This window comes from Homo sapiens, chromosome 4 (genome assembly GCF_000001405.40).
Source record: "Homo sapiens chromosome 4, GRCh38.p14 Primary Assembly".
NCBI lineage: Eukaryota > Metazoa > Chordata > Mammalia > Primates > Hominidae > Homo > Homo sapiens.
Window position 1 is genome coordinate 105,932,708 of NC_000004.12, and position 15,070 is coordinate 105,947,777.

The following is a 15,070-nucleotide window of genomic DNA, read 5'->3' on the forward strand; positions in this document are numbered from 1 at the left end:
GCGTGCATTGTCCCAGGTGGTCTGCTCTTCCCACCTGCATGGCTTCCTGCAGTTATGTCACTTCTTGCAAATGTTCTGAAGACTAGCCCAGGAGTGTCCAGCCTTCAGCCCTGAGCATGAGCAAGCAGCAGGAATTGCCACCTGGTGCTGATTCTCTGTGCTCTGAAAAGCATGGAGCCCTACTGTCCTTTTAATGCATCGAGTATCATTGCTTTTCTTTCTCTTTTCTGAATTTTGAAATATGTTCTAAAAACAGATAGCAAAACAACTTTTTTCATATGTAGGCAAATTCAGGAGTTCCAAAGCAACTGAAATTGGGGGTTTGATGCCTTTTGCCAAGGAGATTTTAGAAATCAAGTCCTCTTCCCCACTCTTGAGGTATAGAGTTTTAGGTTATCTGAAAATCAAAGCATACATTAGTGACCTTCTTTTGGTATACATTGTGTAACATCAGATAGCCTAAGTTCTGGTTCCAAGAGAGCACTTAGTTGCTATTTGATTATAAGCAAGTCATTAACCAATCAGTAACAGGGAGACAGTAATTCCTGCCCTATTTGCCTGTGGGGTTGGCGTGAGAATAGAAACACCAAAAATATTAATGTCTTCGTCATGCTGGAAAGCTTTGTAGGAAAATAATGTGGTAGCATAATTTTACAGTTCCTCTTTTAGGTCATTTTATCTCTAACCCATTCATAGGTTTAAGAACTTAGAATAACTGAATTAAAATAGTTGAAATTATTAATCATTGTCTCTGCTGAGAAGAAATTTGATGCATTTGTATATTTTCTACACAAGGAATTAGGGCAAAAGAATTAATTTCGGTCCTTAATAATTAAAAAATTAAAATTTTGGTAGTTGACATATTGACATCTGTTTGCCTATGACATTGCCCGATTTAAGCACCAAAGCGGGGAGAAAGTCTAAATGTGTTAAAACAAATGAAAGTTTATTTTTAAAAAATCCAGTAAGTTAGTTATCTCCCGATTTTTCAAGCTACTTTTCAGTGTCTGCATGCTAATAAAATTTCTGATTTTTTTCCTGAAGTTTAATAATAATGCTGTGCAGCTTGCATTTCCATTCTGGACCAGTTCCCTTCTCCCTCTCCTTCTCCCATCCAAGCTCCTGAATCCACCAACCTACTGAAATGTATTCCTGACAATAGTAGATGCACTTTAAGACTTGTATACATAATAACTGAAGCATTTGAATGTAAGTGGTTTATTGTAAAGTTCTATCCTTTAGTATAAGATAAGCACATGAAATAATTCATTAAATTTTTTATTTTCCTATTTTATAGATTTTCCTTATATATATTATAAACCTCCAGAGAAAAAGGAAGATAAGTAAATTTAAAATAAAAACACCAAAGTTTTATTTCTAGGTTCTTTTATCAACTTTTAAGATTTATTTGAGACAGTATGATCAATGACTTCATTTTGTTCTGCTTATTATTGTAGGAGTATTTACTATAATTTGGAAGTAATTTATTTTTGAATTTATTGCTTAATTGAATGATCTCCAATAGATTGTGATAATGAACACAGCATTTATAGAAAGCAGCACATATTAACTTACTTAATATGGCACTAGGTCAATGAGAAAAGAAGGTAACATAATTGAAGACAAGAAACTCTTAAGAAAACTGAGGACAAAAAGGCTTCTCACCAGGATGCCAGATGCATTTAATCTTTTGAAGCTCTGTACTTTAGGAAAAGTCTGATATTTGGCAAATTTTGATAAACATGGATGACTATGGAATCCTATTTTATAGTATCTGAAGTGGCTTTCATAAGGGTCATTGTGAAGTTTTTAGGAGACACCTGCCTGTGGCAGATGGGACAATGATGGCAGTCACTAGGGATATTAACACCAGTCAGCTGTCAGGGAATATCATCCAGACCATCAGCAGCTGGTAGAGTACAGCTTTCTCAATTGCTTTCCATGTTTTGGATACTTATATGCCCGTTAATAACAGGTAAAATAGCCAGTACATCATTTCCACATTTACCCATTGAATGTTGCATGTTTTCTTCCTTTCACATATTCATACAGTCCAGATTTTTTTTTGGACTCATGACAGCACATTGGCTTTTCTTTCCTTTCAGTTTCATGATTCTTAACCCCAAAGTGCTTTTGCCATGGGAACGGAAGGATAAATTTCGGTCGAAGCCATTCTCTAAAACCACCAGCAGCTCCAGTCCAGATTATGAATACTACCATAGCAATCCTAAGGGGCCCTTTATTGGCCCAGACTGGAGCCAAATTGTAGAAGAGCTGCCCCAACTGGGCTTCAGGTTTAGTTCAGGGACATAGTGTCTGAAGAAATTTCCATCAGCATAAATACTCCTTGTTTATGAGCTGCCTGAAACTGTAAACACCGAATCCATTCCCATCAGGAACTCACAAAAGTTTCTGTTATGCTTTGAAAATAAACCTAGGGATACTTAACTGACATGTAAAGAAAAATCCATCAGTATCCTTTTCTCGAGATATAGGTTTTGATTTTACTGTGTTATGTTGTGGTTTTGTTCTGTTTTTGTTTAGTGCAGAAAAATACTTAAAACACAAAGCCTTTCTCTAACACCATATTTGGTTTTAAATGCTATTTGCTATAATATCAAGAAGATTTATCAAAGACAGGTGTGACTCTGCAGGACCATATTAGGAACAGTCATTAACTCCTCTTAGAAGATGAGAAAAGTTTCCCTCTCATTTTTAGTAAATTCTGAAATACAAAGTAGAAGAATATGGGAAGGGTAGAAAATTTCTCAGTCATTCTTCCTTGATTTTTGCTTCAATTAACAGAGGGAGAAAACATTTTTGATACTGTAATCTGCATGGCGCTTTCTGTGAGGAAATTTTTTTTGAAATATTTAAAATGTGATTTTGTTTTAAAAACCCTTAACTAGTCAAGAGACAATAAAGTAGAAAATTGAAGAACGCATAGGAGATGACAAAAGTATTTGGTTTATTTATTTAACCTTTCCGGGATTTGCCCAGCTCGGGGTCTGCTTACAGTTGCATTCAGGGCAGATAAAAGACCTACTTGGAAAATCAGTAAGATATGAAAATTTTTTTAGATGTAATAATTATTTGGTGGTTTTAAAACATAATGGAACTTGGTGATTTAGTTAAATGAAATATACAGATTTCTAATAAATGAGCAGATCAGATTGAAATAGATTAGATTTGAAAACAATTTTGTCACTAGACATATTATCTATATTTTTTATTCAATGACATGGATTAATAGATAATTAAATTATGCTAAATGGGTACTTATGCTGGTGGTTCCAGACAAACATGTGGTCACATTTCTTTTTAATGAAGCATATATTTTGGGCATTACTATTTCAATGTTTATTTGTCATTATGAGTTTTATGTTCACTTGAGGCAGTGTTTAATTTAGGTTAAAACCTTTTCATAATGTAAAATTTGTTGATTCATTTCATATTGATACTTAAACCAATAAACCTGAAATACATGACAGTCTATTACATTTTGTCCATTAGTGTTTCCATATGCCTTTTTTAACTGCGGAATAAATGAAAATATGTTGGTAGGTTTTTTAAAGTTCATTTTGTGACTTGAATGCATTACTAAAGTAGGAAACTGAAGTTTCTTCTTTAATCTGAAATCATATAAAATCTACCAGATTGAACAAGAAAAACTACAATATTGATCACTCTTAATTTATTTCGTTCTTATCCTCTGAAAATATAGCCTATGTAGCCTTCCTTTGGGAAGGTCAAAGCAGTCAAATGTTTTAAAATCTGTATACTTCCTGTAAAGTAAAATATTCTCAAAGTCCAAGCCTTAAGGAGGCCAATGCCTTATCCATTTAAAGTAAAATATTCTCATGTAATATGTTCTTTAAACAGAGAAAGGAAGACATTGAACGAATAGGGTTACATTGTCAGGATTGGATCTAGCAATAGAACCCAAATATTTTGAGAATATTGGCAAACAGTTGTTAGCTGATAGAGCATCTCTGCCCATGAGGACGTTAGTATGCTGCTGTTTCTAGGGTTGATAAGGTAGGCACCTGTTGTTGAGAATTTTCCTAACTGGCCTTTATAAACAGAGATCCATAAAGGTCATGGCGACTCCTGGTTGCCCCTAGTGTAACGTACCTTCAAATTAATATTGCATGAACAGGATCTATCTCTTATGTAAATGACAGTTACTGTAGCTTGACCTATTTTTCTCTTTCATTTTTTAATATAGAAAAGAATTTTAGATGGCTTACATTAGTGCTGAGGTTTTGTAATTTTTCTGCTTCAACCCACATTGTTTTCAGATCTAAATGAGTGTGGCCTGAAGCCCCGGCCCTGTAAGCACAGGTGCATGAACACTTACGGCAGCTACAAGTGCTACTGTCTCAACGGATATATGCTCATGCCGGATGGTTCCTGCTCAAGTATGTCAAGAATCTTAACTGTTTTATAAGTGCTTTGGGCTTGTTTCTGTTGTGCTCTGAGAGCTTGCTTTTGTGAAAATGGCCTCCGGGGTTCTCCTAAACAAGATGTGTGCGTGTGTTTATACTTTTGCCTGAGGAATTGAAAATCAAAATAAGAGGCACCATTTTCGATGTATAATACTCTTCTATCACGGGTGCCAATATTAAATTGATTAGGAAATGGTGTTTAGAATAAGAATTACAAAACTAAGTATGTTTTCTAATTTTTTTTTTAAACATGTTTACCCATGTCTTCTATCTGGGCATAGAAGAATGATTCCAGGCTAAAAAAAAAAAAAAAAGAACACTACTGACTATTTAGGGACTGCTCAGACAGAATCCATCAGGTCTGTTTTGTAATTTTAAATCATTCATAAATATTTTCTTCATTTTTATATTTCATTATAAAAGCCTTTAGGCTTTTATAGAATTTTAGACTCTAATAATAGTCTAAGACTTCTAAAAAACAATTTCAAATAAAAAATAAATGAATATGATACCAGAAAAGTAGGATTCATGTTTATAAGGAAGAAATGCATGTTTTCACCATCATTTGGATGTAAAAAATGGACTATGCCCTAAAATTCTCTATAGGCTGACTCCTGAATTGTGGTATTCATATGATATCTGACAATTAATGACTTGATTTTTATTTTTACTGAATTATCATTTAACTGAGTTGCATAAAATAAAGTTAGCTAATTTTATTTAACATTGCATAAGTATAGCATGGAACTTTTTGGAATTAGGTGAATACATGTTTAACATTGTGCAACTCAATGGGAAATCTGCTGTTCCCCTAGAGAAATTTCATGGGCATTTGAGACAGTTACTTGGATGATTAGTTAAGAATAGCGTTTAGCTTGAGTAATCTGGAAAAATACCTCAATTCTTCACTTTCCTTGGCCACTGGAAAAATTTCCAGATAATCTATATATGATAGTTTTATATTTGTCTTTTAATGCTTTCTTTCCTTCCCCCTTTTATTTTCTTTAGATGTTTGATAGTTAAGGCCTCTTTGTCTTCATTGTTGTTCAGTGTCACTGATTTCAGGACAAGTGAAAAAACATAGCTATTTCCATTACAGATTTTGTTTTCTACCTGTCTGAGTCAGCCAGTCACTCTCTTTCCAGGTGCCCTGACCTGCTCCATGGCAAACTGTCAGTATGGCTGTGATGTTGTTAAAGGACAAATACGGTGCCAGTGCCCATCCCCTGGCCTGCAGCTGGCTCCTGATGGGAGGACCTGTGTAGGTGAGTTGTAAAATCAAGCATCTCTGTCAGCAGCCTCTGTAGGATAAAGGGAGAAAGTGAAAGGTGATGGGAATAAGGAAAAAAAAGGCAATTACTTACATCAGATAATTAGCTATCGTTCAGAAGATATCAGATGTCTCAGAAGAGGACATCTCTGTGAATGGATAATGGGAGCGTTGTTTTTTAAAAAATGAGAAATAGGAGGAGGCCTCAGGCAGAGGGAACCCTATGTGCAAAGACACTGCAGTTCAGAGGAGCACAATGTTTAGGGAAACGAGAAGAGCTCAGTATTCCTAGAATGTAAGCGGCAAGGGTGAGCAATGAGTGATGAAGCTGAATAGCTAGATTGTATGTGTTGTTCTTCAGGCCTCAGATTTTTTTCTGGTAAATTAGGAAGGCAGTGTAGGATTGAGAGTCTGGACTTTGGTTTTAAACCTGGCTCTTCCATGTACTAGATATGTAACCTTAGGCAAGAGACTTTGTTGCTTTGAGCTTGGGTCTTCTTATCTTTAAAATGGAAATAATACCACATAGAACTGGTAGGAAGATTGAATGAGATCATGGATGCAAAGAGCTTAGCACAATACCTAGCATGTAATAAGCCTTGAATGAATGGAAGTGTTTGGTGATTAGAGTTATTTACTGAGTAATTTCTATACTCCAGACACTGTGCTGAGTGCTAGGATATATAGCAGTGGCCTAAGCACACAAGATTTTGATCCCCACAAAGCTGACATGCTAATGGGGGAGACAGAAAAGAAACAAATACCCCATAAAATTACAGACAATGCCAAGTGTTAACATGAGGTACTGAGAGAAAAACAGAATGTGTCTATTAGCCTTAAGGTAAGACCTGTATCATTAGCCATGTGAAGAAACAGCCAAGCAGCTGAAGACATTGCAGGGCACTGCGGTGAGAGAGAGGTTGGCCTGTGTGAGGTTTTTCAAGGAAGAAGGTCCATGTAGCTCAAGTACAGGGTGTGAGTATGAGGGGTGGTGGCTGGAGATATAATGGGTGAAGTAGGTGAGGGTGATTTGTTGCAGGGCCTTCAAGGACACAGGGGAGGAATGTGGATTTAATTCAAAGTGCAAGTAGAAATAGTTAAAAGATTTTGAGCACAGTAATGATTTGATTGTATGTTTTAATGGAATCATTTTGACAGTTGGGTTGGATATGCTTTGGAGGGGGTAAGTAACAGCAAAAGGAACTGTTTTGAGGCTTTTGTAACAGTCTAACCCAAGAGATGGTGGCTTCAAATAGGGTAGTGGTGGTGGATTAAGAGAAAAGTAGACAGATTCAAATACTTTTTTTTAGAGGTAGAATTAACTGGACTTGATGATATGGGAGTTAAAGGAAAGAGGGTTGTTTCTAATTCAAGAATGACTCATGTTTCTAGTTTAAGCAACTTGGTAGATACAGGTGCAGTATGTGCTAATATATAGAGTGCAAGAAAATAATAACTTGGCTTAGAAGGCTGGGTTGAAATTTGGATATGTGGAATTTATGTTGCCTGTAGGGACAACCAGCTAGATACCGTTTATGATGAGCCACTATATGCTAGGCAACCATTTGTAGTCAGTTATTTATTTTGAAACCCACTCTGTCTTAACATACCCTTGCTCTTCCTAAAATGCTATTGACTTATGTTTCTAGATGTTGATGAATGTGCTACAGGAAGAGCCTCCTGCCCTAGATTTAGGCAATGTGTCAACACTTTTGGGAGCTACATCTGCAAGTGTCATAAAGGCTTCGATCTCATGTATATTGGAGGCAAATATCAATGTCATGGTAATGAAACCCAACCATTGCTTTGTGTTGTTTCTTCCTAGAGCACTGAAAGGTCTCGTAATTGTGGTGATGGCTGGAATGTCAGGGGCAGGGGAGAGTACTGGCGTTAAGTTAAACCAACAGACATCCAGTTTAACCACTGGTAGTTCTCAGTCTACATGTAGTTTATTTCTTCTGTTTATCTGCCAATATTATGTAGATCATCACATTGCCAAAAAAAATCATTTTTGAAACTGTATATATTTTTTATGTCATCATATTTATCTCCTAAATAAGTCTCTTCTTTTCCTACTTTCTGATGCAGACATAGACGAATGCTCACTTGGTCAGTATCAGTGCAGCAGCTTTGCTCGATGTTATAACATACGTGGGTCCTACAAGTGCAAATGTAAAGAAGGATACCAGGGTGATGGACTGACTTGTGTGTGTGAGTAGCACTTGTCTCTCAGCTTTAAATTCTAGCAGGAAATACAGGATTACACAAAGGCCATTGCTAGGGAAAATAAGGAATAAGATTATCAAAGAAGTATAATTGTCATAATTGGTTATATTTGTCTTTGATTTCCACAAACAATAAAATCACTTGCTCAGGTACTTGTAAAAACTAAGGACTCAGTAATACACTATAATCTTAAGAGTATTTTAATCTCTTCACTGAAATCTCTCAATATTTTCTTTTTAGCTAAAAAGAAATTATTGAGTCCTCCCTGAGAATTTGCTTTTGTTAAAATTAGAAATCATGTTTGCCATTAGCGTTAGATTTTGATGGTGGGATAATCTGGATATATTCTACATTTTTTTCCCTCTGTTTTATTGCTCCTAACTCTGCTATTAAAAAATCATTCCCGGCCAGGCACAGTGGCTCATGCCTGTAATCCTAGCACTTTCGGAGGCCATAGCAGCAGGATTGTTTGAGGGTAGGAGTTCAAGAGCAGCCTGGGCAACATAATGAGACCCTGTCTCTACAAAAAAAAATTTAGAAATTAGCCAGCTGCAGTGCGCATACCTGTAGTCCCAGCTACTCAGGAGGATGAGGTGCTAGGATCACTTGAGCCTGGGATCTTAAGACTGCCATGAGCCCAGTGAGCTCTGACCATGCCACTGCACTCCAGCTTGGGCAAGAGAGCGAGACCTGTCTCAAAAGAAAAAAAAAGCCATTCCCATATTTATTTCCTCTACATTCAGAACTGTTTTGCTTTTAAAATTTTTATAAGTTTTATTTGGAGTAGTGGTTATGTAATAGATAAACATGAAAAAAACCCAAAAGTCATAATTTAACATACATTTCATGTAACAGAAGATAATTTTTTAAATTTCCTCCGTAAAATATTTACTGAAAACCATGGTGCATAAAATCATGAGGATTAAAGGGTTTTTAAAGAGTCATGTAGTCATTCCCAGTCTGGAATGTATCATTCAGGCAGATTAAATATTGATTCTTTTTGATGAAGATTATCAAGGAAAAAGATTTCACAGATGATCTTTGCAACCTCTGAAAATGTCTATTTAAAAGCAGTTGTATCTATCAGTAAAGGGAAATAAAAACCGACCATAAAACAATATGTAGAACATTTACTCAAGCTGTATTTATGCAAATTGAATTTATATAAAGTGTGGATAAGAAAAGTATTTGTCTTTAGACAATTCTGAACACAATTTTATAATATACACGTAGCATAGGGATACAACGTAGATTCTAACTATGCATTTCTTATATTAAAAAAACTTAGAATGTCTCTGCATTTTAAAAATTCTCATTGGTTGTTGTCTGTTTGCACTGCACAAATATTTAAAATGTTTTTATGTTGCAAATAATACATATAAATTATTTAAACACACCAATATATTTGTTACATACATCCAAAGGATGAATATATGAATATATATGTGTGTGTCTGTGTGTGTGTATATATATATATATATATATACACACATATATATTTGTTATTTGGAAAATAGTATGACTTACAGTAGGTAATATTCTAAATGTGAAAAATGATACCAGTTGTCATTAGATGTTTTTATGTCTGTCAGTGTAATGCTTCACTTTTTAGGGAGGAATGGTTACATACTGATTTAAGTCTTTGACTCTTTCAGATATCCCAAAAGTTATGATTGAACCTTCAGGTCCAATTCATGTACCAAAGGGAAATGGTACCATTTTAAAGGGTGACACAGGAAATAATAATTGGATTCCTGATGTTGGAAGTACTTGGTGGCCTCCGAAGACACCATATATTCCTCCTATCATTACCAACAGGCCTACTTCTAAGCCAACAACAAGACCTACACCAAAGCCAACACCAATTCCTACTCCACCACCACCACCACCCCTGCCAACAGAGCTCAGAACACCTCTACCACCTACAACCCCAGAAAGGCCAACCACCGGACTGACAACTATAGCACCAGCTGCCAGTACACCTCCAGGAGGGATTACAGTTGACAACAGGGTACAGACAGACCCTCAGAAACCCAGAGGAGATGTGTTCAGTAAGTCTAATAAATGTTAGCACATTTTCAATAGGCTCTTTATAATGACTTTTCAACCACAGGCCATGCCTTGAATAAGAATGAAACTCGTAAGAAGAACTAGCTATGTAAAGTCGTATGTCCCTATTGACAAATATTATAAAGAGCTACATAAAGAGTCAGTCTAATTGGGCAAGTAAGAAAGAATGTATGTAGCAATGGAAGGAATATTCACAAAGTCATATGGTAGATGACAGCTCTTAGCCAGTATGGGAATTCTGACATAGTTGGATTTACTTGAAAACTCTCAGAGGTGGGAACTTAACTGTATTCCATGCTATGTTACTTTTAATCTAACCCTTCATTCATTCAGTCAGTGAACATTTTTGAATGTCTTTAGAGTGTCAAGAAGGCCTTGTATTAGTTATTGGGTTCATGTAAAGATAAAACAGAAAAGGTCACAGTCTGGTGGGAAAGATGGTTACTCAGAAGATACCAGTGGTAGTATGTTAGTGAAAGAGATCTGTGTAGGACACTATGAGAGGAGAATGAAGGGATACCTCGTCAGTCTTTGGGTAGGGAATATTCAGGGAGGGCTTCCCGAGTGAAACGGAGCAAAGTGGATGAGGAAAGGAAGATATTATAGTTAACAGGGACAGCCCAACAAATGCAAAGAAGTAGGAAGCAGTGTAATAGGCAGTAGACTGCCAGTAAATTGGAGGGTCATGTCAGGGACAGATGAGAGAAGCTGGACAGCTACCCCTTGGATTGCTGTAAACTGATAGTTAGACCTACACTGGGGCTGGATTAGATCAAAGACTCCCAGATTCTTAGCAGGTGACTAGGTAAAGGGTAGCACCACCAATGGAGATAGAGGATTCAGGAAGAGAAGCAAGTTCTGAAGGAGGAAAAGGTTGTTAATTTATTACCAGACCAAAATTTGCATGTTATAACTTTCATCTGTTCCTCATATTTATCTGCTTGTCCTGTGTCACTTCGCTTATTCTTAATTACCTTTGCATTCACTCTTCCTGTCTCCTCCTTTATACATTACCAGTTTGTTTTGTTCCTTTTCTCATTCCTCTATGATGAAGCTAAAGTTTGTGCCTTTTATATTGAATACCTTTATAACTTTTTATCAGGTGAAAAAAATACTGACATTTATTATTCTTTAAAGGGGAAAATTGGGAGGCTGAGGCAGACCGATCGCTTGAGCCTAGGAGGTTGAGGCTGCAGTAAGCTGTGACTGTGCCACTGCACTGCAGCCTGGGTGACAGGGTGGGACACCATCTCAAAAAAATGAATAAATAAATAAACTAATAAAGGGGATATCAGAGCCGCATTTTGCTTGTATGTGACTCTCAATTAAATTTTCTCCTCTGGGTAATTGTCCATTTAAAGAAAGATGGAAATTCTCTAATTCTGATATAGTCATGTATGTTTTGGATAATCAATATAATTTTTAGGGGAATTAGATGGTAGCTCTCAAAATATACATTTTATATGTGCATAACTATTTTCTGAAATTTATGTTTTTGTAATTTTCTCCTCACCCCCTCTCTCCATCTCAGATACTGTCTTTTTCTCCCTATTACTCTCCTTTTTAAATTCTCATCATTGTGATCATACAATGGGATTTTTAATTTATGAGTGCTTAAGTAATTATGGTATTTACATTATTTTGCTGCCTTAGGATAACAGGGAAATTTGGCTATTTAATGTAAGATGATACGCTAAATATTTTTTTCATTATGATGAAAGAATACATCTTTCTGAGAATTTTAAAAAATCCTTTCTCTTTTTAAAATGTTTCTCTTTATTTCCAGTATTCCTCTCTATGCCAATACATATATGAATTAAAAATGACATTGAAGTTCACCAATAAAATTTAGTGCAATAAAATTGGGGAAATACAGAGTTCCAATGATGTTTGGGAGCATTCATTATAAGAGAGTGTGATCTTAAAGACATGCTCTGGGAAAGCATTGCCTTGATCAAATGCCAAGGCTGTTGCATGCCACAGATAGCATTGCTGCCTTTAGAAACTCCTGCCAAAAATTAAATTCCACTCTCATTTCATCTTCAGCGATAGCTGCTTATTAAGTCTAGCATGTGTGAGAATGCTTTAGATGCTTTTTGACTTGCTGTCTTGTGGTTATAGCATATATTCTAAATAAGGCAAAGGCTCTAAGTTTTTAATTCAGGACAAATAACCAGTGTCTATTCACTGTGAAAACATTAAGGAACCTTAGCACTATTTCAGTTCAACACCATTTCTTTACTGAATATTTTCTTCACTTCTGGCATAACTTCTTAAATCATCCTTATTCTCCGAGACAGGTCTGAGAATAGAATTTAGCTCACCTCATTTCATAAATTTTTAGGTGATGTTAATTATGGCCACTATTTGGCAGTCTCCTTCAAATAGCCCTCCACTTTGTGTTTTTCTTTACATTGAAAGATATTTTTAAATTGATTTTTAATTGACAGATAATAACAATATATTTATGGGGTATGAAAGATTTCTTTTAATGGAAGAGGTTGTGAAAGAGAGCTTTTCCTTATAATGTATGTGCGTTGTTGCCCTGAGAAAAGACTGTAAAGATATTCTAAAAGAAAATCAAGGAAGAAAAATATTATAACAAGAACACATCTTCAGCCCAGACCTCTCCCCCAAACTCTAGACCTGGATGTCAGCTGACTGCTTAACCTATCCAGTTGGATGAAAATAGACGTCTCAAACTCAACATGTATAGAATTGTTCCTTTTCTTCCCTTAAACATCCTCTACTCTCAGCCTTTCTTATCCCAGGTAATGGGACCTCTATCACCTGTTGCTAAGGTCTAATAATGTGGATTCATCCTTAATTACTCTTCATACATACAGTCAATATGTAAGGAAATCCTGTTAGCTGTACCTTCAAATTATATTTAAGTGTGACCTTTTCTCACCAACTCCAGTGCTACCACCCTGGCCCAAGCCATCTCTCCCCTGGAATACAGGCCCAAAATCCTTTATCCAAATAACTTATGGAATATAGCATTTTTTAGATTTTAGAAAATCAGTAAGGTACACATACTATATAGTACACACTGAAGTAGTGAAACATACTGATTTTCCTCTAGTGCTTTTACTGTGAACATATCAATGTTAAGGAAAGGAAAATGATATTAACTCAGAGATGATGTCTCACAGCATATATTTACTAGCTTGCACAAATTTTTTAATGTTAGCAAGATTTAAGGCAAATTTTTTACTTATATTTTAATTGGATCCTATGATGATTATTAAAGAAAAAAGTAGTTATCTCTAGAAAGTATAAATTGAGCTCTTGGCAAATGTGAGCAAAACCAGAAATCAGATTTTTTTAAAGTTACGTGTACATTTGTCTATAGAGTTATAATTAAAAGTATTGTGCTCATAGCCAGTCTGTGATCTGGGGCATATTATTATATCTTCCTATGCCTTAAAACAATGTTTCCTGTAAGTATAAACAAAGTACCATTGACACTGCAGTTTTTGTCCATTTGCTACTTCCAAAAGAAAGGGGTACAAAACAGAAAAGTTATTTAAACTTTAAGCAGTTGGTTAGATATGGTAGTTATAATGAGCTTTGGTATTTTAATATGGGGCTTAAAAATTTTCATCTAAACCAACATTAATTATCTAAGTGTGATATCCTTAGGAGGTCTTTGTTAAGTCCTCCCAATTATATCCAGCATCTCCAAAGGTGACTGAAGTCCCTTCTAATAACTCATCTATCAGGGGAACCCGCCCCCAATATTTTAACATAGGTTCTTTCTATTTTCCATAAGTGTCCGCTGGCTGAGAAATAAAGAGAAAGAGTACGAAGAGAGGAATTTTACAGCTGGGTCTACGGGGATGACATCACATATCAGTAGGACCGTGATGCCTACCTGACCTGCAAAACCAGCAAGTTTTATTAAGGATTTCAAAAGGGTAGGGGGTACAAGAACAGGGAGTGGGTCGCAAGATCACATGCTTCAAAGGGCAAAAAGGAGAACAAAGATCACATGCTTCTGAGGAAACAGGACAAGGGCAAAATCACAAACTCCTGATAAGGGTCCAGCAAAGATCACAAGGCAAAGGGCAAAAGCAGAATTACTGATAAGGGTCTATGTTTAGTGGTGCACGTATTGTCTTGATAAACATCTTAAACAACAGAAAACAGGTTCGAGAGCAGAGAACTGGTCTGACCTCAAACCTACCAAGGTGGAGTTTCCCAATCCTAGTAAGCCTGAGGGTACTGCAAGAGACCAGGGCATATTTCAGTCATTATCTCAACCGCATGAGACAGACACTCCCAGAGCAGCTGTTTATAGACCTCCACCAGGAATGCATTCCTTTCCCAGGGTATTAATTATTATTATTCCTTGCTAGGAAAAGAATTTAGCAATATTATCCTACTTGCACATCTGTTTATAGGCTCTTTGCAAGAAGAAAAATATGGCTGTATTTTGCCTGATCCCGCAGGCAGTCAGACCTTATGGTTGTCTTCCCTTGTTCCCTAAAATCGCTGTTATTGTGTTCTTTTTCAAGGTGTACTGATTTCATATTGTTCAAACACACGTTTTACAACCAATTTGTACAGTTAACACAATTATAGTGGTCCTGAGGTGACATACATCCTCAGTTTAAGAAGATAATACGATTAAGAGATTAAAGTAAGACTGGTATAAGAAATTATAAGAGTATTATTTGGGAACTGATAAATGTCCATGAAATCTTCACAATTTATGTTCCTCTGCTGCAGCTCCAGCTGGTCCCTCCATTCGGGGTCCCTGACTTCCCACAACACTCATCCCACCACTGGAGCATTTTTCCTTATATTTAACCTAAATTTATGAAACTACAGTTTATGCATTTTTAATATTGTCAGATACTCAGGGTTAATGGACACAGTTGTTCATTGTCTCCAGATCCCATACTCCATGTACTCAAAGACACTTTCAGGAGATGACTCACTCTTCGCTGGGCCCAATAATTTATATTTTATTAATCTTTTCTTAGAAATGCTTTTTTTCAACCCACTTAGCAATCTTGTTGACTGGTCCTTTGAACATTCTTTATTTTCC

General features: G+C 36.1%; 1 protein-coding gene across 18 annotated transcripts in view; it reads left to right on the plus strand.

Moving 5' to 3' along the window:
• Window positions 1-15,070, plus strand: part of NPNT (nephronectin) — a 76,201-nt gene that overhangs the window by 37,237 nt on the left and 23,894 nt on the right. For all 18 annotated transcript variants that reach the window (XM_011531820.3, XM_017007984.2, XM_011531823.3 and 15 more), the window contains 5 exons: window positions 4,302-4,421; window positions 5,594-5,713; window positions 7,368-7,502; window positions 7,807-7,929; window positions 9,600-9,995. In XM_011531820.3, coding sequence (XP_011530122.1) covers window positions 4,302-4,421; window positions 5,594-5,713; window positions 7,368-7,502; window positions 7,807-7,929; window positions 9,600-9,995 — 894 coding nt within the window. The remainder of the gene's footprint in view (window positions 1-4,301; window positions 4,422-5,593; window positions 5,714-7,367; window positions 7,503-7,806; window positions 7,930-9,599; window positions 9,996-15,070) is intronic.